The 25,625-nt window shown below is 37.4% G+C and overlaps 1 long non-coding RNA gene across 1 annotated transcript in view, besides 1 other annotated feature; it reads right to left on the reverse strand.

Annotated features, from left to right (window-relative positions):
* Positions 1-25,625, reverse strand: part of LINC01470 (long intergenic non-protein coding RNA 1470) — a 353,385-nt gene that overhangs the window by 319,088 nt on the left and 8,672 nt on the right. The window lies entirely within an intron of this gene.
* Positions 11,739-11,908: an enhancer, noted in NCBI's record as "experimental_83428 CRE fragment used in MPRA reporter constructs". NCBI's record gives its function as "activates a minimal promoter by MPRAs in K562 erythroleukemia cells, with activity observed for both the introgressed and non-introgressed 5:152329436 variant alleles {active_cell/tissue: K562}" and the evidence as "EXISTENCE:reporter gene assay evidence [ECO:0000049][PMID:34662402]".

Here is a 25,625-nt window from a genome sequence, read left to right on the forward strand (position 1 = left end):
GGTTTCCCCCATACTTTTCATGTGGTAGTGAATAATTCTCATGAGATCTAATGGTTTTATCAGAGGTTTCTGCTTTTGTGTCTTCCTCACTCTCTCTTTGCCTGCTGCCATCCATGTAAGATGTGACTTGCTCCTCCTTGCCTTCTGCCATAATTGTGAGGCCTCCCCAGCCAAGTGGAACTGTAAGTGCATTAAACATTTTTCTTTTGTAAATTGTCCAGTCTCAGGTATGTCTTTATCAGCAGCATAGAAATGAACTAATACGCCTGCTTTGTCACTACAGGGTATCTACAAGCCTTCCATGATGTAACGTGGGACCCTTCCCAACATAATCTACCCCACCTTCCCAGAGATATTTCCCATGTGACTCCTTCATATATTGAATTCCATGTGTACCGTCAGCATGCTTTTCTCTTTTCCATACCCCATATCTTGCCTTCCTATCATGAAGGTAACCTTTAAGTTATTTGTCTTCTGAGTTTTCCTGACCATCTGCCAAAAATGAACTCTTTCTTCTCTAGATTTGGTCAGAAATTAGCATCTGTGTCTTTCATCTAGAAACTATGAATGACCCTGTGCATGTGTTCTGCTACTTGCTAAGTACTTTCCCCAATAATTCTGAGTTCCACAAAATTATACAATATAGTATAATGCTTAACAAAGTTTTATTAATTGATCCATATACAAATCAGGCAATATGAGTCTGCTTTTCTCATCTTGGCTAGTTTCAGCAACATATCATCCATAGTACAGAGAGCAAATTGAGAAAGCAAGATCTTGGTGATCAATAGGTTGACTTGGGGCTTGCCAGAAAGTCACTCGAGTGACATCCAGGAAACAGTTTCTTCTTAATGCAGGAAGGATTGCTTTGATAATTGCCAAAGCTCTTCTCAAATGAGTTGCTATGATTACAAGAGCTTTGCTAATTCCACTTTCCCACTGAAACCACAAGAAAAAAGAAAAGCAGTTTGTAATCTTAAGTTTTCTAGCTTCCTTGCTTGCTGGGATTTGCACTTTCAGGAGAGACAAGTGTTTTCCTTGAGAAACAGACACATCAATTTTATCTTGTGTATACAGGGTATCAGTAAAGCCCTTATTCGTTCTGATTAGTATCTCAATGATCATGTGTTACCCATTGAATTTTACTAAATGTCCGCTCTGCTCATGCACCCCATAACCAGGATTTAAATAACTGTTATGTTGCTCATTTATTGAATAGGTCCTCTGCTATGCTCTGAGTCCAGGAAAAGGAAACACAGGTTAAGACACAGGAGCAGGGAGAGGTTCTTGGTCATAGGTAGCCACAGGCAGCCCCAGTGCTAACATTCAGCCTTCATTTTACACAGGAATATTTTTACTCTACTACATTGCAAAAAGGAGAACTGTTTTCAGACTTTGGTATTGTTAAGTCACTCATACAAAATTTAACCCAAATTCATTTTTTTTGTTTGTTTGTTTTTTTTATTATACTTCAAGTTTTAGGGTACATGTGCACATTGTGCAGGTTAGTTACATATGTATACATGTGCCATGCTGGTGCGCTGCACCCACTAACTCGTCATCTAGCATTAGGTATATCTCCCAGTGCTATCCCTCCACCCTCCCCCCACCCCACCACAGTCCCCAGAGTGTGATATTCCCCTTCCTGTGTCCATGTGATCTCATTGTTCAATTCCCACCTATGAGTGAGAATATGTGGTGTTTGGTTTTTTGTTCTTGCGATAGTTTACTATGGAACCAAAAAAGAGCCCACATCACCAAGTCAATCCTAAGCCAAAAGAACAAAGCTGGAGGCATCACACTACCTGACTTCAAACTATACTACAAGGCTACAGTAACCAAAACAGCATGGTACTGGTACCAAAACAGAGATATAGATCAATGGAACAGAACAGAGCCCTCAGAAATAACGCCGCATATCTACAACTATCTGATCTTTGACAAACCTGAGAAAAACAAGCAATGGGGAAAGGATTCCCTATTTAATAAATGGTGCTGGGAAAACTGGCTAGCCATATGTAGAAAGCTGAAACTGGATCCCTTCCTTACACCTTATACAAAAATCAATTCAAGATGGATTAAAGACTTAAATGTTAGACCTAAAACCATAAAAACCCTAGAAGAAAACCTAGGCATTACCATTCAGGACATAGGCATGGGCAAGGACTTCATGTCTAAAACACCAAAAGCAATGGCAACAAAAGACAAAATTGACAAATGGGATCTAATTAAACTAAAGAGCTTCTGCACAGCAAAAGAAACTACCATCAGAGTGAACAGGCAACCTACAAAATGGGAGAAAATTTTCGCAACCTACTCATCTGACAAAGGGCTAATATCCAGAATCTACAATGAACTCAAACAGATTTACAAGAAAAAAACAAACAACCCCATCAAGAAGTGGGTGAAGGATATGAACAGACACTTCTCAAAAGAAGACATTTATGCAGCCAAAAAACACATGAAAAAATGCTCATCATCACTGGCCATCAGAGAAATGCAAATCAAAACCACAATGAGATACCTTCTCACACCAGTTAGAATGGCAATCATTCAAAAGTCAGGAAACAACAGGTGCTGGAGAGGATGTGGAGAAATAGGAACACTTTTACACTGTTGATGGGACTGTAAACTAGTTCAACCATTGTGGAAGTCAGTGTGGTGATTCCTCAGGGATCTAGAACTAGAAATATCATTTGACCAAGCAATCCCATTACTGGGTATATACCCAAAGGATTATAAATCATGCTGCTATAAAGACACATGCACACGTATGTTTATTGCAGCACTATTCACAATAGCAAAGACTTGGAACCAACCCAAATGTCCAACAATGATAGACTGGATTAAGAAAATGTGGCACATATACACCATGGAATACTATGCAGCCATAAAAAATGATGAGTTCATGTCCTTTGTAGGGACATGGATGAAACTGGAAAGCACCAAATTCTTTTTTTAAATGTCTAGTATTTACATAGAATCCAGGATGGCTCTAGTTAAAAAGTCAGCAAAGTGTAGCACATGAGTCAAATTTGGCCTGCCACCTATTTTTGTAAATAAAGCTTTCCAGTACACAGGTATGCCCATTTGTTTATATTTTGTCTATATATGCTTTATCATGGGAAAGTACTTGACTAGTTGCAACAGACTACATGGCTATGAAGCCTAAAATACTTACCATCTGGCTGTTTGCATAAAAAATTGTAGATGTCTATCTTCTTGGTTAAATGAATAAACTGCAACTAATATCAAAGGCAGATTATCCCCTTTACAGAACCTCAAAACCCACCAGATATAAATAAATACAAAGATAGACAAAGAGAAGAGTGAATGAATGAGCTTACTGGATTATTGCAAGAAGATTATCTTGGAAATACACAGACCTGAAGCAGTTGATACTGGCCTTACCAAAGCCACAAAGATGGAAATTACATCTGGGAACTTGGATTTTCTTGGCGGTGGCTACTAGCTTCCAGGTTAACCTTGGTCAATTGCTACTTTTATGATTAAATGTAAAGCCTTGGCATCCTATTTTATCTACCCATCTTTTGCTCCCCACAAACCTTAATGGAAAAGCGTGACCCTCAAATGTCTGTCTGAGCAAATGGTGAGTCACACAGATTCAGTGCCTGTGCAGAGATGTAGCCACACATCACTCACTCGAGACTATTTCCAGTGGTCCTCACCCATTCTAGTGGCTTCTGTTTCTCTCAAACTCACTGAAGTGATGGTGAGCATGCAGTAAGAAAAGGCTGACAGCTATCTGACCTTTAGTTAATTGAACAACAGATTTCTACAGCTTCCAAAAGCAGCAGGGAAAGAAAATAGAAGAAATATATCACACCAATAAACTTTTTCTGATTTAAGCATCAAGTAAGTTATGCGTGTATTTATGGAATATTTGAGGGTGTGGGTGGATAAAAGGTAAAAATAGATGCAACTTCCAATGCAAGGTACTTAAGAAAAATTTACATTTATTCCAGTGAGGTACAATAGTAAATTAGAGCTTTGGTAACTGACAGGTGGTCATAACATCTACTTTGGAAATGTTGCTATATTTTTGTATTCATTTAAATTAGTATAGTACTTCATGCCAAGCAGATATTTTATGCATACAATTACAGTGATAGTTTTGAAGGCTCCAGAAAGATGCTATTAGCCTAAGCTATTACCATAGAAGTACTCCATGTCAGTTTTGGCTAGCATTAATCATGGGAGTGGAGACCTGAACACAGTTGTATATAGAGGCAATATTACATTCACTAATAACATTCCCTAAAGATCTAATTCTGCTCATCAGTGTGTATAATTTAAATAATTTTTCATATATGGGACTTTGATTTCTCATGTTGGAATTTTATATACCAAATGTGTTATGATCTCATTATGTGAAGAACGTTGTGTCATGATTAAGGTAGAACTGACAAAGACCTGATCCTGCCACTCAAAGTACTCAGAGTCCAGTGAGAGATAAAAGATCTTGAGGAGAGACCCTTCTACCTTGGTTTCATCTCTTAAGCATTTGCATCAGCAGAATTGCATGTAGCTGGAAGCAGGGAGAATGGGCAAGATAGTAAAGTGAGCTAGGCCAATGGAGTAGGCATAATTTCTCTTCAATTGGCTGTTCTTGCTTTGAAATTTCCTGGGATAACCATTTTGGAATGAGATTTCCCAGACTCATATCCAGGCCAGAGAAAAACAGATTCTCTGGTAGCACAGCCTGGGAATCAAATGCCCCAGGGAACCCTGAAGCACATTCAAGTCTCAGAACCAATAACATCACTATCCTCTGACTCCTCAATCAGAAGCCACAAGTCATCCCAGTGTGTTCTCCATATCCCTTACACCAGTGAATATCAAACATCAGGCATTTCAGAGTCAGCTGACAGGAGTAAGGGGCAGTGGCAAAAATACATCTGAGAGTCTGATTCTGTAGCTCTAGGGTGAGACTTCTAACATATGTCGTTTCCCAGTCAACCTCAGGAAATGCTGCCACAAATACAACCGACCAGCAAATCCTATTACTCCTACCCTGGAACGCACACCCGGGCCAGAGAAAAACAGATTCTCTTGTAGCACAGCCTGGGAATCAAATGCCCCAGGGAACCCTGAAGCACATTGAAGTCTCAGAACCAATAACATCACTATCCTCTGACTTCTCAATCAGAAGCCACAAGTCATCCCAGTGTGTTCTCCATATCCCTTACACCAGCGAATATCAAGCATCAGGCATTTTGGAGTCAGCTGGTAGGAGTGAGGGGCAGTGGCAAAAATACATCTGAGAGTCTGATTCTGTGGATTTAGGGTGCGGCTTCTAATGTAATTAATTTCCCAGTTGCCCTTAGGAAATGCTGCAACAAATACAACTGTTCAGCATGTCCCATCTCTAATTCTTCTCTCATCTTTTCTAACACCCATAGTCACAGCATTAGGCTCCCCACATCTCCCTCTAGAATTTCTGGAAGAGCCCACTAATTAATCTCCCTGTCTTCAGTCTTATTATGTGCCTCAGCTCAGTTCCTTAAACTGTTTCGAAAATGAAGTATACGCAACATGCCTCTTTCTTGCCTACATTCCATCTATCCTAAAGGTGAGTCCCATGCTTTCAGGATAAAGTCTGCGTTGCTATGTCTGACACGGAAGCCCTTTGTGAGGTAGCCCCTGTTTTCCTCTGATTCTTGATTCTACCCCTCTTGACAATTGCAACCTTCATTCTCTGGCTTCAGACAAAGTAAACTACACAGTCTGGAGAATCTCGCTCATAGTTCTGTGCTCCTGTCCTGTCATTGCATCACTATGTGTGATTATACTTCTATGTGATTATTTAATGAGGGTCTGTCTGCACACTACAGTGTAAGCTTCAGGAGGACAGGGTCATGTCTATCTGAGCTTGGCATCTAACACATTACCAGGCCTTCGATAAGCACTCTTAAAATTTTTGTTACCATTGTTGGACGTTTGGGTTGGTTCCAAGTCTTTGCTATTGTGAATAGTGCTGCAATAAACATATGTGTGCATGTGTCTTTATAGCAGCATGATTTATAATCCTTTGGGTATATACCCAGTAATGGGATTGCTGGGTCAAATGGTATTTCTAGTTCTAGATCCCTGAGGAATCACCAAACTGACTTCCACAATGGTTGAACTAGTTTACAGTCCCACCAACAGTGTAAAAGTGTTCCTATTTCTCCACATCCTGTCCAGCACCTGTTGTTTCCTGACTTTTTAATGATTGTCATTCTAACTGGTGTGAGATGGTATCTTATTGTGGTTTTGATTTGCATTTCTCTGATGGCCAGTGATGATGAGCATTTTTTCATGTGTCTTTTGCTGCATAAATGTCTTCTTTTGAGAAGTGTCTGTTCATATCCTTCACCCACTTTTTGATGGGGTTGTTTTTTTCTTGTAAATTTGTTGGAGATCATTGTAGATTCTGGATATTAGCCCTTTGTCAGATGAGTTGGTTGTGAAAATTTTCTCCTATTCTGTAGGTTGCCTGTTCACTCTGATGGTAGTTTCTTTTGCTGTGCAGAAGCTCTTTAGTTTAATTAGATCCCATTTGTCAATTTTGGCTTTTGTTGCCATTGCTTTTGGTGTTTTAGAAATGAAGTCCTTGCCCATGCCTGTGTCCTGAACACCATGGAATACTATGCAGCCATAAAAAATGATGAGTTCATGTCCTTTGTAGGGACATGGATGAAGCTGGAAACCATCATTCTCAGCAAACTATCACAAGGACAAAAAACCAAACACTGCATGTTCTCACTCATAGGTGGGAATTGAACAATGAGAACACATGGACACAGGAAGGAGAACATCACACACCAGGGCCTGTTGTGGGGTTGGGGGAGGGAGAAGGGATAGCATTTGGAGATATACTTAATGTTAAATGATGAGTTACTGGGTGCAGCACACCAACATGGCGCATGTATACATATGTAACTAACCTGCACGTTGTGCACATGTACCGTAAAACTTAAAGTCTAATAAAAAAAAATTCGTTACATAAGTGAATACAATATAAGGCAGTGCCAAGGCTCCATATCTAAAAATATGTTACTTCTCTTGCTTGGGATGACTTTCTCTCTCTTTATTTGTTTACTGATTCCCACCAAATTATTCAAGTCCCAGTTCAAGTGTTCTGAGCATGTCCCTTCTTTGCTTACTTTCCAATTTTTAAAGAAACTTTGCAGCCATGTAACTTCCTGGCCTTGAAATGACTAAAGAGGAGTTTACTGGTCCCACTGTTGTGCTCTGTACACACTTCTCTAATTGCATTTATCACATTATATTGCAATTGTTGACTGGCATGTCTGTCTCTGCTATAACACAATGCAACATCAGAGAATGAGGGCTGTAATTTGAATTCCGATTTGTAACAAAGTGTCGGCCATAGAACAGATGCCCTACAAACATTGGTGAATGAATAAAAATAAAATCAAACAAGTCAGTGAATCAACAGGTGAGTGAATGTATTAATAAGTGAGTGATCAGGGGCTGGAGCAGCAAACTTCTGTGCAAGCTGCACCTGACAGCAATTGGAAGCCAAATTGGGTCTCAGGCATCCAGTCAAACCAGCAAATAGGCCAACATTTGGATTTCTCACATGGAAGTCACTGGTACTATCCAGAAGCTCCACTGGGACTGGGAGCACAGCAGAAAATATTCAGAAGTTATTATCTTGGAGTCACAGTCTTCTGCAAACATAGATCAGAACATGCCCTGGCTTTCCTCAATCACCTCTCAATGCCTATTTAAAAAGTTTGAATCCTTTAGTCTGTCATTCAAGCCAGCATAATATAAAGGTCAAAATTATCTTTTAGCATTTTGCCCATATTCCTTATACACACATCTTTTGGTCCTATAAAGACTACTGGATAGTCTCCTGGAGTTATTACATAATTCCATTATTTTAGCTCAGGCCTCTCCTTCAGTCAGGAGTGACTCTGCTCCACTGCAGTTCCAGCTCATTTTCCCCTGACAAAATCTCATTCATCCTTCAACATCTTCAGTGCCACCTCCCCTATGAAACCTTCCTTGATTCTTCCAGTCAATAAAGCATTTCTTCTTTTACATAATACAGATGGTGGCAAAATGTACACATTTGAGAGCCAGACTCCTTGGGGTTCACTCAGTTGTACCATAGATCTATTCTGTAAACTGGACAACTCACTTATTGCCACTTTATGCCTCAGTTTCTTCACCTGAAAATGAGGTCAATAATAGTACCAACCTCAGAGGAGTTTTGTAAGCTAGAGAGGAAAGGAGTTAATCTGTTGAAAACATTAAGTATATATTCTGTAAACTGGCTTTTCTACTCCCCTTTAGCCTTCTCTTCTTTATTGTATCCCCACTGTTCTTTGCCAATACATGTGAGTTTGAATGTCATTTTCTCTGGAAATGTCATTAACAATTGATACTGTCTCCAGCATAATCTTTTGTTTTGTTTTGTTCCATTCTGGTACCTCCCCTAAAAAATCGTCAGTACTTAATTTTATTCAGTTCCACTAAAGTTATTTACTTTTAGTATTAGCAAGGGTATCAATGCCTTGGTGAACATTTCTAAGCCTTGGTTTCTTTACCTAGTACATAAGCATCATGCCTCAAGGATGTGAGGATTTAATGGCAAATGCATTTAGAGTATCAAAGCTCTGTCTCTTCCCTGCATGCCCCCACCAAGGATAGTCACTGACTAGGTGTCTGAGGACAGGAGATTCCTCAGAAGGAGTTTGGAGAGTAGCTATTGTACCCTATAGCTGTGTGTCAAAGCTGGTAAAGCTTTAGACTTAGTCCCAAGTCATTCCTCACTTTAGAGATGAGGGCATTAGCAAACATATTTACCCTCTGGGCCTGAGACACAGTAAGTGAATCCAGGCCTGGCTACCAATCTCCTGCTTGTATTTTACCCCACTATGCCAGCCTCATGCTCTACCTTCCTTTCATCTGACACTGCCTCTTGATCTGAGGGTCTCTGTGATCCATACTCATGACAGTCACTCATAAATATTTTGCTTGAAAAAGTGAATAATTAAATGTTTGATGCAACTCTGGGTATTACATATTCCTTCCTTTCTCATTCACTGCCAGTTTGCCATTCCAATGTTGCTCTCTGGCTGCTTTATCCCCTCAAAAAGGGAAAAGCTGTTTTAGAAGGAGGTGTTCAAAACAAGTCTATGAGCTGAAGGGAGGCATTAGGGTATTTCTTTGGGTCCTGTGTGTTCCCTTTCCCACTCCTCAAACAGCAAGCAAAAAGAAATCCTGCTGATACCTATACTGAACAGCACAGGGTCACTATATTTCCCAAGGCTATTGTTCTTTTTTTCCCTTGGGATAAGGGGGTGTTTTAAGTGATGAAAGGAAAGCTCACTTCCTTCTATAATTGGGAAACACATGGTATGAACTATTAAAATTCAGTTAGAGCAGTTGGACAGAGCCAGGAACCAGTTCAGGAAAACATAGATTAAAACAAAGATGTCATTTTCTAGGCACCAAGAGATATTTTCCCAAGCCTAGCACAGTAACTGAGACAAATAGTAGCATCTGAAGAGACTGTGCACTTCAACCCACTTTCTAGAAAGGTTAGAAGAACTTAGCAAAGGCTTTAGAGAATGAGGTTAGAGCTTAGAAGTTGAGGCTTAGCCCACAGGGAACTCTACTTTGACAGGCCCAGCTGACCTGAAAGAATCTTTCAGGAGCTTCTTATTCCCATCAATTGTTCCTCTTCTAGAATGGAGCTCTGCTGAAGCATGGGGGCCCCAGTCAAGCCATACATGTTTGCATGAATGAGGGGGACAGGGCAGAGAGAGATCATTCCAGGGAAACAGCAAGATGTGAAGCAGTTTTAATAAAGCATCCTCAACTAGAAAACCAGAAAACTCATGTTTCTATTATGGCCCTGCCAACCAATAAGCAATGCAACTTAAAGCACCTTTATTCCCCTTTCTTATTCTGTTTTCATATCTACAATAGAAATGGCTTAGATTTATAGTTCTCTCTAATGCGCATCTAAAAGGTATACATTAAAATTACATAAAATGATTTTTAAAATACCAATGAACAGCCACATACCAGATCAACAAAATTTGAATACCAGAGGTAAAGCTGAAGCATTAGAATTTTAAAACTTTTCCCAGGGACAGACAGGCATGAGAAGCACTGGGGTAGATCATCAGTCTTCAAAACTTGAAATATTTCAGAGTCTACTGAGGAGCTTGACAAAAGCTGAATGTGCTAAGATACCACACTGATTCAAGAACTGCAGTAAGGACAAATAATTTACACTTTTAATATGTTCTCTGGGGAATTTTTATAGACAATGAAACCTGAACTACCTGGCTAGATGGTCTCTGAAGACACTTTTAGCTTTTATGAATTATAATTTTTTGGGCTCCTTAACTGGGACAAATTCACAGTGAGGGTACAAAAGTTGACTGCAAGATTCCACTCAACCTCAGAGCAACAATGTTGGCTCCAAAGTTTGGAATGGGGTGGAGTTGAGAACCAGTGAGAAGTGCACATGTGAGTGAATGTGTATATGTATTCTGAGAGCCAGAATAATATAGTAGTTAAGAAATGAGACTCTGGATTCAGATTGTCTGGTTAGATCTGGATTTCCCATTTAACAATTTAGCAAACTTTGGTATTTAAAAAAATTATCCAAATCTCATTTTTTCTTGTTATCTCTTAAGCAGGGATAATAACAGCGGACACCGTTAAGATATGAGGGAATGAAAGTAAAGAAGTAAAGTGCCGAACACAATAGCAATGTAATCATAGAGTAAGCCATAGAGTAAAACAATAATGAAACTATTCATCATTATCATTTACACCCCTACGCAGACCAAGTTTTCTCCCCCTCTGTGCATTTCTAAATGGCCATCCTTTGATAAGTTATAGTACTACCTCCTCCATAAGTACTTCCCTGATTGCTCTGGTATTCATTCGTTCATCTCTCCCCATCTTTGACCTACCACAGCATCAATGGCAACACTGTACACTCAGACTTATGTACTGTTTCATGTGTTATTCCTGTACAATGTTCCATGCACAAACAGTGAACATGTCTCTCTAACAGAATAACATACTCCTGGCAAGTCTTTGATTTCCCTTGTTTGGAGAGAAGAGAAAGTGAATGAAGAAGAAAAGAGGAAGGTACTGTAATAAATAACCTGCATTGCTCAAAGACAGATATTATATTTTCCTTTCTAGCATTTATCCTTTGAGAAAACATCCCTTCTCCAGCCTCAGACTATGTATATATATTTGGCTGACTTCACTCCGAGCTCCAGGAATGGGATGTAACTCAGGTTGGACCAATTAGCATATACCATTTCCCTGCAACAGTGATGTGTGTAGCAATAGTCACATGTCCTAAATGTACCCAAGAAGAATAATCCTAAAATTCATGCTAGAAATAATGAGGAAAAAATGACCTATTTCTACAGGGAATCCCTATCTGATAGAATGTTGGACTATTGCTGGTTACTGTATTTCCACCATGGAACAAGAGTCTCCCTAACAATAAAGCCATCAGAGAAGAAAGTTAAAGTTCCTTTGAGACAACATTTGTGACAATACAGAACATGTGACTCCATCTGTACCTGAAGTCAGTATACAACTAAATTTTTCAAATATGGAAGGTAATGAATCCTCCCCTTTGCTTTGACTTTAGCCAGTTTGAATCAAGTTTCTGTCATGGTGATTAAGTTTTTCACTAATATAGGTGGAGGCTAGTCTCCAGAAAAAAAAGTGAGATGTTAGGTCATCACAATCCAATTCTGTCGTCATCCCATAGATCTCTCAACTAAAGAAAGAAGGAAGGATAGTCACATTTGCTATATACCTATGATGTTCTAGGGTTTATATGAGTACTTTACCCACATTATCTCATGAAATACTTCCAATGATTCTGTAATGTGGGCATCATTATTTCTATTTTATAGTAGAACAAACTAAAGCACAGAAAGTTCAGAAGGCTTTCCCAAGGAGGTGACTTAGAGAATGGCAGAGGAAGGACCAGTGAAAATCTGCTCCTTTATAAAAGTAATAAGGATAAGGACACTGGCAAAAAATGCCAAAAACGGCATTTTTAGAACTCTGGAAATTAACTGAAGACGTGCAACCATCTGAGACGCACTTATTCAAGAAAATGGATACATCTTGGTAAGAATAGCAATCTTTGTGATATTTTAACTTGGACTAATCCCACTCCCAAGCTCCCTAGCACAACAGTGGCCTGGAAAACCAACTTAGTATGGTATATAAACGACAGTAGCTTTGCAAAACAGCAGGATAGCAGCCACTGTAAGGAACACAACAGACTTGGAAATCCTAAAAGTCTCATCCCCAGAAAATTGTCACTATTCAACCTGTCTGGCAGCTATTACACTGAAAAGCTCTATTCTCAGGGTTTATCTTTATTTGACCTGACTCACAATTCACCTTGTGGTAAGAACCCTCCAGACAGGAATTTTATTTAAACAATCAGTGATAGTGTTTAATATCACAAATGCCTGAGATGCCCTTAACAGTGTGGCTCACCAGACTCACCAAAAAGCTTCAAGGTAAAACTCAGCAAGAAGATGTTCATAGGTGACTTTGAAAAACTCTGACAATCTTGGGGATTTATATTATCATGCATAAACACAGTGATGTAAACATATCAAGGAAAGACCTGAGAAAGATCTCTGACTGACTGACTTTAAGGCTTTTCACAAGCAGGACGTACATGTTAAGGCAGAGCTGTGGATTGCCTGCTGGAGTGCTGAAAGTATACTCCAACAGAAAAAAAAGAACCCCTCAGCAAAGACAGGAAAGTTCATTGGTTTAAGGCATTAAGGTACTATGTTCACAAAGCTAGCTGAGCAGAGACTTCAGTGGCCACACATGACAAAGCTACAACACGTTCATGAATTAGTACAGGAAATCACAGCTTGAATATGCAACATCCTGGGAAGGGAGAGAATCTGATTTCCAGAGCTGCCACATCATTTAAAATGTTCAGTTTCAAAACTAAATTAAGAGACAAAGAAACAAGAAAGTACAGTCTATACATGGAAATTTAAAAAGCAGTCAATAGAAACTCTCCTGAAAGATGCCCAAACACTAGACTTGCTAGACTTTAAATTAGCTATTTTAAATGTGATCATAGAATAAAAGGGAATGATATATAAAAATCTAAAGAAATATAAGAAAATGATTCTCACCAAATAAAGAATATCAACAAAGAGATGGATTATTATGAATAAAAATTCTAGATTTAAAAAGAAAAATAATGGAAAGAAAAAAATTCACTAGAGGGACTCAACGTAGATTTGACATTGTATAAAAAAGAATCAATAATTTTGTATTTAGAAAATCCTAAGGAATCAATAAAAAATGCTAATAATTATGTTCAGCAAGGTTTCAGGTTACAACAGCATTCAAACATAAATTATATTTTATATTATAAAAAAATCTGAAAAATAAGACTCAGCATTCAATTTCTTTTATAATGACATCCAAGGATACAATATTTAGGAATAAATTTAATAAAAGTGTAAAACTTCTACATGAAAACAATAAAACATCATTAAATGGAATTTTAAAAGACCTAAGTAAATGAAAAGACATCTCATGTTCATGCATCAGGAAATTTAATGGGGTTAAGATGGTAATACTCCCCAAAGTGATCTATAGATTCAATGTAACCCTACCAAAACTCTGTTTTCTGTAGGGGGGGCCCTGGGGCAAAAATTGATAAAGTGATGACGATAAAATTTATATGGAAATGCAAGGGATCCCAAAGAGAAAAAAAAATCTTAAAAGTAAAGATCAAAGTTGGAGAACTCACACTTTCCAATGTCAAATCTTACTCTACATATAATCAGTTGATTTTTGACAAGAGTGCTAAAACGATGGTGAAATACAGTCCTTTCAACAAATGGTGCTAGCAGAACTAGTCTGTCACATGTGAAAGAACAAAGTTTGCACCCCTTCCTCATCCCTCCACACAAATTAACTCAAAATAAATCATAGGCCTAAATATAAACACTAAAATTATAAAACTATTAGATGAAAATGTAAGTAAATCTTCATGCATTAGATTAGGCACAAGCAACAAAAAGAACTAATAGATACGTTGGGCTTCATCAAAAATTTTTTTCTAAAAAACTTTTTGCTTCAGAGAATGTCATCAAGAAAGTGATAAAAAAAACCAACATATAGAATGAGGGAGAATATTCACAAATCATATATCTAATGAGAGACTTTCATCTAAAATATGTATATATAAAAATTTGCAACTTAATAACAAAAAGACAAACAACTAAATTTAAGAACAGGCAAAAGATAAATAGACATTTCTCCAAGAAGCACAAGAAAAGATGTTCAGTGTCATTAGTTACTAGGGAAATGCAAATCAAAACTACAATGAGATATCATTTCATACCCACTAGGAAGGCTATAATGATAAAGATAACACAATGGGAAAAAAAACAAGTGTTGGTGAGGATTTGAAGAAATAGGAACTGTCATCCATTGCTAGTGGGGATCTAAAATGATGCAATCACTTTGTTTACCATGCCTCAAACAATTAAACAGTTACCACATGACCCAAAAATTTTGTGTGCGCTCAAAGGGATTGAAAATGTATCTACACAAAAACTTGCACACATATTTATACCAGCATTATACGTAACTGCCAAAGAGTGAAAACAATCCAAATGTCCATCATTTGATGAGTTGATAACCAAAATGTGGTATTCATACAATCAAACATTATTCTGCTGTATAAAGAAATGATGTATTAATACATACTACAAAATAAATGGACCTTGGAAATATGGTAAGTGAAAGAATCCAGACACAAAGGCCAGGTTTTTGTTTTTTTTTTAATTCCACTTACATGAAATGTCCAGAATAAACAAATCTCCACAGATTAGTGGTTGCCAGGGGCAGGGATGGAGGAGAAGGAATGGTAAGTTGCCACTAATAAATAGGGGTTCCTTTCCTGAGGTGGTAAAAATAGTCTAGCAAGAGATGGTGTTAATGAGTGAATATCTGAGTATTTTAATGACCACTGAATTATATACTTAAAAATGGTGAACTTTATGGTACACGAATTGTATCTCCATTAGGCTGTGTTTTTAAAACCTAAGACTTTCTCAAGTACATACAACTAACAGTGAAGATTAACCATAGATTTGGAATAATTTTATAGTAATTTTAAATCCTATTATTTGTTGTAGCGTAGTACTTCCTAACTTCTGCCTAGGGGACTTCGGGTAGGATAAAATATTTAGCAGTGTGGTCATCCTATACTCTACTTGCAGCCTTCATGGACTTCTGGAGAAAATGGCATTTTATGGAGGACAGGAGCCTCAGAGAATTATAAAAGATGCTCAGAATTTCCAGACCCTGCTTGCACAGCAGGAGGGAGAGGATATGGCTCATGCAAGGCTACACTTTCCCACTGAGAAGTTAAGAAACTTCAGAACACAGTGCATAATCAGAATTGGTTGTAAAAAATTAGGGTTGAGAAAATCAGAAAAGAGCAATAAGCTTCTCTTATTCAAATACTGAAGGTCAAGTCATGCCCTCGTACTGTCGGATGGCAGGAGAAAAAAAAAAAAGGATAAAAGCCGTACGACTGGGGGCAAAATATCTAGTGTTTCTTGGTTGCTTTCTTAAAGTGAAGTTTTTTTCATTGAAAAAGCAAGAATATTAGCCATTGTTAATTTTTTTAAAGGAAGGTGAGAAGTCTGACGGCTCAGGGTAGAAAGAATAAGAGGTGCAGAGAACTAGTAATTACTGCTATCTGGAGACAAAGCCATGTGTGTGTGCGCACACACACTTTTGTGTTCGCCATTCTCTGGTATTCAGTTCATAATTTAATTTCTTCCTTCCTGCCAACAGAGGCAGCTTTCTCCTGTGACACTGGCAAAGCGAAGTTGCAAAACAGAAAAGACATCAAAGTTCACTGCAGGGTGGAAATTTACCAACTGCATAGATGTAGCTTCCACGGTGAAGAATGTCTTAGTTTTATCAAAAGTAGTAAGTACTTGTGTTTTGGAGGTATATAATTTATTTTTCTCTTAAGCCCACATTCTTTTACTTCCTCTACTGTCCATGTTCTTCTGTTTAGCCAATGGATGCGTGAATAAATGTTTCTAGCCATAGATTTGATGCCAGTTTTAGAAGTTTTGAAGGCAGAGCTATGTCTAGAACATGGTCATGAACCACAGTGGGGGGAAAAAAAGGAAAGGTCAAAGGGAAGCATGGACAAATACCACGCAAGTTAACACAATGTTCTCACAGAAGAGTACTTCACTCTGAGGCTTCTTCCTACACTTAGTTTAGATATAACACGTATGGCTGTTTGACAGTAGTCATGTAAAAGTGAAAGGGACCATACTAGAAGCCAGTGTGGAACTTTGCCCACCTCTTGAGTCTTGCAGAATGAAGCCAGAATTAGATTTCTATCACCTATTAGCTGTGTCATCTTAGGACCATTTCTCAAACTCCTTAAGGATCAGTTTTCTCAAATATAAAGTAACGATAATGGCACTTGACTATTTTTTAAGAATTTGTGAAAATTAGAGAATAAATGAATACACACACACACACACACACACACACACACACACCCCTAGTATAGCTTTGAGAACCGGGAGGTATTCGACACAGGGATAAACCACGGTCATTATCATTCTAATTTAGTGAAATTCATGCTTTTAACAAGAAGTAATAGAACACTTTCTATGAAGATATCCAAGATACAAAAGACAAACCACATCAAACTGTTTAAAATACGGTGGCAGAGAACATAAATGGCCAAGAGCCTCCTCATTGAACCATTAGGTCCCTATTCAATATGGTACCTGATGAGTTTGAAAACCACACACCTTCACATCCAGCATCCTTTTTCAACTGAGGATCCCAGAAACAAGAGGAAGAAAACCACTTTGACAAGATTACACAGCCTATTTGTTGGCAAAGTCATTAGTAAAACTCAGTTCTCATGACTCCCAGTCCAGTCTCCTGTCTCCTACGTTGCAAGGTTTCCTCAATCCATTTTTCACTTTTATTTTTTTTTATTTTACTTTAAGTAAAAGTGCAGAACATGTAGGTTTGTTACATAGGTATACATGCGCCGTAGTGGTTTGCTGCACCTATCAACCCATCATCTGGGTTTTAAGCCCTGCATGCATTAGCTATTTGTCTTAATGTTCTCCCTCCCCTTACCCCACCCTCTGACTGTGTGTGATGTTCCCCTCCCTGTGTCCATGTGTTCTCATTGTTCAACTCCCACTTATGAGTGAGAACATGCATTGTTTGGTTTTCTGTGCCTTTGTTAGTTTGCTGAGGATGATGGCTTCCAGCTTCATCCACGTCCCTGCAAAGAACATGATGTCATTCCCTTTTATGGTTGCATAGTATTCCATGGTGTATATATTCCACATTTCTTTATCCAGTCTATCACTGATGGGCATTTGGGTTGGTTTCATGTCTTTGCTATTGTAAATAGTGTTGCAATAAACATACGAGTGCATGTGTCTTTATAGTAAAATGATTTATACTCCTTTGGGTATATACCCAGTAATGGGATTGCTGGGTTGAATGGTATTTGCCTTTAGGTCTTTGAGGAATTGCCGCACTGTCTTCCACAATGGTTGAACTAATTTACATTCCCACCGACAGTGTAAAAGTGTTCCTATTTCTCCACAGCCCCACCAGCAACTATTATTTCTTGACTTTTTACTAATCACCATTCTGCCTGGCATGAGATGGTATCTCATTGTGGTTTTGATTTGCATTTCTCTAATGATCAGTAATGCTGAGCTTTTTTTTCATGTTTATTGGCCGCATGAATGTCTTCTGAGAAGTGTCTGTTCATATCCTTTGGCCACTTTTTGATGGGTTGTTTTTTTCTTGTAATCATTTATTTTTATAGTTAACAGTGACACTAAGAGTTTACAGGAGAAACTCAATTGTTAGAAATAGATATTTGGAGCATAGGAATATATAACAAGGCATAGTGAAGGAAGAGATAGGGAAACTAAAAAGATAAAAGAAATTAATCTGTACTGCCACTGAGGAAAATTTAACTTAAGAACAAACAGAGCTACTCAATTGTGCAGGGACACATATTTCTTATGAGAACTTTAGTTTGCAGGAGTTTTTCAAAAGTTGTGTGATAAATTCCACGCAAAAAGTTAGGGAAGTCTCAAATGTGTTATGCAAGGGCATATATCCCAAATGGGTAAAGTTTAAAAAAAAAAAAAAAGTTTGACATTTAAAGGGTAAGCTTCAGTAACCTGGAAAATTCACTTTTTATCAAATACTACATGCCTCAACAGTATTAGTTCATTAGTGAACTTTTTCTATTTGTGTCAAGATATTTATCAATAACTTTTTATCAAATAATTCCCATGGTTTGAGAAGATAAGAACTCCAAAGCACATATACATGGTTAAAAGGAAGAAAAACTGCATGAAAGGACAAATGAGGAGAGAAAAGTCTTTGTTTTTCATAAATGCTGGGTTTATATGTATCTATAATAACTCTTGCTATCAAATGTCCTTCGCTATTCCTCAATACCTAACCAAACATAATAATCACCTCCTTCACAGCATAGTCTCCAGCTACTCCTAGCCCACAATGACCTCTCTATCTATTCTACTCATGCCTTGTAACATTTCTTAAATTGTCGATTTTGTTCTATATTCAAATTGTGGATCGTTTATTAATATCTCATGCAAGTATCATACGTATGCAGTTAAATTAGCAATCATTTCAATAAAGATACAAAGTTTGATATTTCATTATGTAAACCAGAGCACATAATACTCTCTGAATTTGTCGAATAAATAAATGTGTGAATAAATTAATTTAGGAGCACTGTTCAATACATTGGGCAAAAGCAACCCTAGTCTAATGAATGCTCAAAAAGTTTACATGAGGATTAAATTAATATAATTAATTTAATGTACACAAATTAATATAATTTAATGTACACAAATTAATATAATTAATGTACATTAGATCATTATAATCGATTTAATGCACATTAAATTAATATAATTATATTATATTAATTAAATTAATTAATTAATTAAAATAATTAATTAGTAAATTAAATTAATACAAAAATATTAATTTACTGTGTATTAAATTAATATACATTTTCAATTATGAGATGCTAGCTTATTTTATGAGATCTTTGCATGCTGTAATGGAGGAGAAAAAAAGGAACTAATAATAAGTATTGAGCTCTTGACCAAGTCAGCCACCGACTAAATTTTGAGCAGATCATATCACATCCAGGCCTAAGTTTCTCCATCAGTTAAGTAAGCAGGCTGGATTAGAATCTTTCACAATATTTGATTTATGATGCAATGGGAATGGGAAATGACTAGCCATTCCCTTGCCAGGTAGAAAAAGGTCCCAGTTTATTAGTTTGATTTAGAAGCCAATGATTCCAAACCCAATAACTCTTCAGAATTACTTATGAAATTTCAAAACTATAAAAATATAGGTTGGAGCTCATAATATTCCTATTCATTTGTATTCCACATTTTGAAAACTACCAGGGTTATACTCTAAACTCAGTGCTTTTCTTATACTTAGCACTTTTCTTGTACTTAGAGACCAGGATAGAAATGTGTACAGTGAATAGCTCTATACTAATAGACATAAATGGACACAACATAATACACTGATAAAAGCATAGACTTTGATAGCAGGAAGGCTTAGTATAATAAGGAAGATTTTCTAGGAAACCTGAAAAAGAAGAGAGATGGTTGGTGGGTGAGTGGGGTGGGGTGGGGGAGGTAGTCATGCAAGAGATTAAAACCCATTCCAAAGACTCAATCATTTAGATTATACTGGCACATGAATAGATGGAAACACTCATAGAAAAGTGTATAAAATTTCAAGTTATGCATCAAACATAGGAAAGTTTAGTATAAAGTATCTATTTCTAATGAGCAAGCTAAAGATATACTCTTAAATAAATGATACTGAGGAAAACAGATACCTTTGGAAAAAAGATAAAGTAGGATCCTTATGTCACATCATACAGCAAGGAAAACTCCACATAGATTAAAGGTCACAATGTAAAAGGCCGGGGTACAGGGGGAGGTGGTGAGGAATCTATATTAAGTACTTGAAGAAAATGTGGAACACACTTTAAAACACTGATTTTGATACTTTAAAATCTGAGTGAAGAAAGCCTTTATAATAAAGATTCAAAATATAGACTCCATGTATAAAAGATTTGTGAGTTGTAATATATATATATGTAAATAAAAAATACGTACCACATTTTTTTTGTCCAGTTCACCATTAATCCACATTCAGGTTGATTCCATGACTTTGCTATTGTGAATAGTGCTGTGATGAACCTACGCATATGTGTGTCTTTGCAGTAAAGCAATTTATATTTCTTTGGGCATATACCCAACAATGGGATTGTTGGGTTGAAAGGTACTTCCTTTTTAAGCTCTTTGAGAAACTGCCAGGCTACTTTCCACAATAACAAAAAAGTGCTTGATAAAATGGATAGGGACATGTCAAAGGGAACCAATCCGAAAGACCTTCCAATGGTCCAAGCTGGAACAATATGAACAGTAAAATAAATGATTAAGGCCCAACAAATATTCCTAAGTCTATGCTGACATAAAATAGAATAAAGAATAAAAGGAAGAAAATCTTACAGAATTCCAAATACAAATCAATGTAAACGGATAATGCAAAATAGAAAATCAACACAAAAACACCACAGTGATAATTATTGTAGGCAAGAATCCCAGAGGAATGCAAAAATTGTATGTAAAACTTGAAGAATAAACAGTGTATTTGCATAATTCCTAAGTATCTACCTTCAAGTATTTATTAATAACTTTTTCTCTAAATTTCTAAAACACACCTATGACTATTTAAAACAAAAATTATGACATTGTATTGTGGTATTTCTAAGTGGGAGATGTAAAATTTATCATAGTAGCATAAGGAATAAAATGAGATAAATGAAACTGCTCTGTGGCAAGGTTTTTATATTTTACATGTATTAAGACGGTACAGAATTAACTCTAGATTTTGTTGAGATGTTAAAGATTCTTAATGTAATTCCTGCAGCAACTGCTAAAAAATGCAAGAAAGTGTAACTTAAATGCTAATAAAGGAGAATTAATATATTTTATAGTCATAATAGCCCAAAGCAGGAAACAACCCGAATATCTATCAACAAGAAAATGAATGAACAAATTGGATAGCATTTATACAACAGAATACACCTCAGAAATAATAATAAAAAAAAACGAATGAGGGACACACCCTGGATAAATCTCATAAACCAGTTAAATGAGAAAAGCTAGACATTAAAATGTATACATTTATATATTGTATTATTTCAGGCAAAATAAATGTATGGTGAAAAAAAATTAACACAGAAATAGCCTCTTGTATTTTGCCTGGGATAAAAGACAAGTGAATTTTCTGAGGATGACGAAAGTATTCTGTTTTTAGAAGGGTGAAGATTATATGGATTTGTCAAAAATGTACAGTTAAGATTCGTGCCTTTCAATGTATGTACATCTTACCTCATGAAAAAAGAACTAAAAAAAATAAGTGGGCATGGAGAATGCGTTAAAGTATAGATTAAGCAAAAATGGCACATAATTAGTTGTCGAAGCTAAGTAACGAGACTATTATACTATTTTATTTCTATATGCTTAAAAATTTTGTAGTCAAACACTTGTATAAATAGACAAAATTGGTCTACAATGTTAACCTGGTTATCTTTGGAAAGGGAGGGCGGGAAAAAGTTATTGTCTAGGCATTATTGAAGATAATTCTATTTCTCAGTTACATAAATAAATTCTCTATTATAATCCATCAAGCCTTAAATGAAGTTTCTGTGTGTATTTCTGTATACATGTTGTAGATCAATAAAAAATTAATTATATATGTGTACAAAAATCCTAAAAAAAAATTCCAATTTATATCATAGATCCAAAGATAGTCTCTAGTATATAAAGAGCAACCAGAAACAGCTGGGCTCGGTGGCTCACGCCTGCAATCCTAGCAATTTAAGAGGCTGAGGTGGGCGGATCACTTGAGCTCAGGAGCTCAAGACCAGCCTGGGCAACATGGCAAAACCCGATCTCTACTAAAAATACAAAAAATTAGCTGGGCATCATGGCGCACGCCTGTAGTCTTAGCTACTCGGGAGGCTGAATCACGAGAATCACTTGCACCCAGGAAGTGGAGGTTGCAGTGAGCCAAGAATGCATGACTGCACTCCAGCCTGAGCAACAGAGCAAGACTCTGTCTCAAAAAAAAAAAAAAAAAAAAAAAAAAGAGTAACCAGAAACGAGATGAAAAAGACAGGGAACACAATAGAAAAAAATGGACAAAAGAAATGAACAGAATCCACATAATATAAAGGCAATGACCCTATGTGAAACAGAAGCTTAACCTCACTCTGAATAGAAACACAAATTAGAACAACATGAAGGAGTTTCAGTACCAAGAAGGGCAGGGGATTGTGTGTTGATTAGCATTCCTGAATATAGCAATTATAAACACTGGACGCAGTATGATGAATGACTATTTGAAGACATTAGACTGCAGATAAGAGCAGGCAGAAGCTCAAGGGAATTGAACTTTGAAAGAAGGGATGTTCACTTGGAAAGATATATATTTATAGTATTTGGCTCCTGAGGGTGCTCCTCTCTCTATAAAGGAGAAGCTCAAACAGTAAACCAAAGCGCTTGAAATCAATATTTATCAGAGCATGGAGTCAGTGTCTCCAAAGCAGTTGGAAATCTGTGTGTGTATGTGTAAGATGTAGAAAGATATAGCCTAAAAAAATATAGTGGCGACTTTTCTATAGTAGAGATAAAGGATTTCATTTTCTTATTTTATCTTCTACTCTTCACATTTATAGCTTTTGTAAAAATGAAAATGAAAAACAAACAAAACAAAATAAAAATAAATAACCCGGATTTGTGATTCAGCTCTACCAACTACAGCGTGAACTTGAGAAAATTATTTGGTTTTATCAATTATCTTTTTTTCTCAGTTAGCAGAAATAGTTCTGATTTCAACCACATATTATTCTTGTGAAGTTTAGTGGCCAAAATGCATTTAAATATCTTAGTGTAGTGCTTGACACTGGTATTAAATGCTAGGGATCATCATCTTCATTCACATCATTATTGGTGCCTGGTTAAATTTGTCTATTGAACAAATGAGTGAATCAATCAATGAACAAGATCCATCTAACAACCACATGAGGAATTGGCCTGGTCTTCAGTTCTCTCATGCAAGTCAGCCATGCTCAGTCCTTGGAATAGCTGCCAAGGATATCCTGGCTGAGCTGGCTCAAGTGGGATGACAAGATGACACTGATTAAAGACAGGCTGGTAAGCAATGAAAAGCAAAGTCACCTGAACAGTCACCTGCCTCTCCCCTCTGGCCACAGCAAGACAGCACACATCAGGGAGGCAAAGTTATTAGTGAAGTTAAGGAAACTAAAATCAAGTGTGTGCCAAAAGCAGAGGTTCAAAGGGTGCTATATATGACAAAGAGTGATACCAGCAGCTTCAGCTTAGTGGGTTCATATTAAAACAATCTTATAAACTGTCTTTTTTCCTCCACAAATGTTTCACTTAAGTTAATGGACACGAACTTATTTTTTTGGATACACTGAAATTATAGTCAGTTCCCCCAGTTCCCCTGGAGTTTACAGGAGAGAATAATGAGTGAGAGGGAACACAAGAGAGGGAAAAGGAATGTGTTTTAATGTCAGAAAGGAGTACCTTTTACAAATTTAATCTTAGAGCACTGGTCTTGCCTTACTTAGGGTATATATTAGGAAATTTACTATTGGTAATACACTTAACAGTTGTAGGACTGGCAGTAATAATAGTGGCAGTATGACAGTATCTGTGGGAGTAAATTTGAATACTTACTCCACTTACTAGTATCCTGGATCCACAAAATACCAGGGAATTGATGTTCTTCATATTTCATAGAGGAGAGAACTCATGGACCTGACTGCTGTCAAAATTTCCTCCACCTGTCTATAGTGTACCCAGCTTAGAACCCAGCATGGCTGACCCCTAGCTTATCTACATTTTTCTTGTCCAATCACTTGCCCTTCTGCTACACTCCTCTAAACACATACTTATTTATTTATGATTCCACTAAAAACACGGAAACACAGACTGCAGATGAAATACCTCAGAGCCATCTCCTGAACTTCAGGCTCATATGCATCTTTCCAATGGTCAGTTTCACTTGGAGGTCCTCTATGAATTTCAAAATCAAATTGTCCTGAAAACATATCATCATCCCCTCCCTAAACCTTCTCTTCTTTCAGTAGGAGAGTTTCCCTAGAGGGAAGAGAGTCACAAATCTTCCAGTTACTTACTCCTGAATCTTGGAAATCATTCCATGCTTCTTCTCTGTGCCTTGAGCAATTTTTTTTTTCTTTAAAGATGGAGTTTTGCTCTTGTTGCCCAGGCTGGAGTGCAGTGGCGTGATCTCGGCTCACTGCAACCTCTGCCTCCAGGGTTCAAGTGATTCTGTCTCAGCCTCCCGAGTAGCTGGGATTACAGGTGCCCACCACCACACCCACCTAATTTTTGTATTTTTAGTAGAGATGAGGTTTCACCATGTTGGCCAAGCTGGTCTCCAACTCCTGACCTCAGGTGATCCGCCCGATTCAGCCTCCCAAAGTGCTGGAATTACAGGCATGAGCCACCGCGCCTGGCCTAACCATTCTTGCAACATCCAGTCATTCAGCCAAACTGTCTCATCTGCTGCCTATTCGGGCCTCTTCTCTCCATTATCATGCTACTTTACTCATCTCAGGCCACCTTCCTCTCTCCCTTGTGTTAATACAAGAGCCTCCTAACTGATGCCCTCTCAACCTTCAGCCTCAAACCCCCCTGGCCCTTTTTGCACTACTCTTCAACAATTCTCCCCTTTATGTGTGTTAGTTTTTGAACTATGAGAAGCATGGACACAATTGATCATTTCCTCCTTCTTGAAACACTTTCGTTTCCTTCATTTGGCAACTAGGTCACCACTCATGGTTTTCTTCTATGTTCCTGATCAAACTGTCTCAGTTTTCCCTTGCTGGTCCTTTTGCTTCTCCTAGATGACTATTGGTAGTCATTCCCTGGGGTGAGCTCTTCTAACAAGATTATTTTAAAATACTATATTTATATGCTGATGACACATTTATACCTCCACTTGGACCTATCATCTGAACTCCAGAATTACACATTTGGCTGTATTGTTCTGTCTCAGATGCTTAACAAACATCTCAACTCTAACGTGTCCAAAATCAAACTCCTGATCCCCCTTCCTTGACACAACTACTATTCCTACAGTCCTCCCCACCTCAATCAATGGAAATGGTATCACTTTGCTTGTTCAGGTTTTCGTTCTACCCAGTCTAGCACTCCTACTATTCCTAGAATAAGCCAACCATACTCCTTAAGGCCTATGGACTTGCTGGTCCTTCTATCCAGACTATTCTTCCCTTAGGCATCACATCACTTTCTCTTCCCAAATGTTTCCCTAGCATCAGAACTTTCTCTGACCACCCTATAGAAAATAATAAACCT

The sequence above is a fragment of the Homo sapiens genome, chromosome 5, assembly GCF_000001405.40.
Source record: "Homo sapiens chromosome 5, GRCh38.p14 Primary Assembly".
NCBI classification, from domain to species: domain Eukaryota; kingdom Metazoa; phylum Chordata; class Mammalia; order Primates; family Hominidae; genus Homo; species Homo sapiens.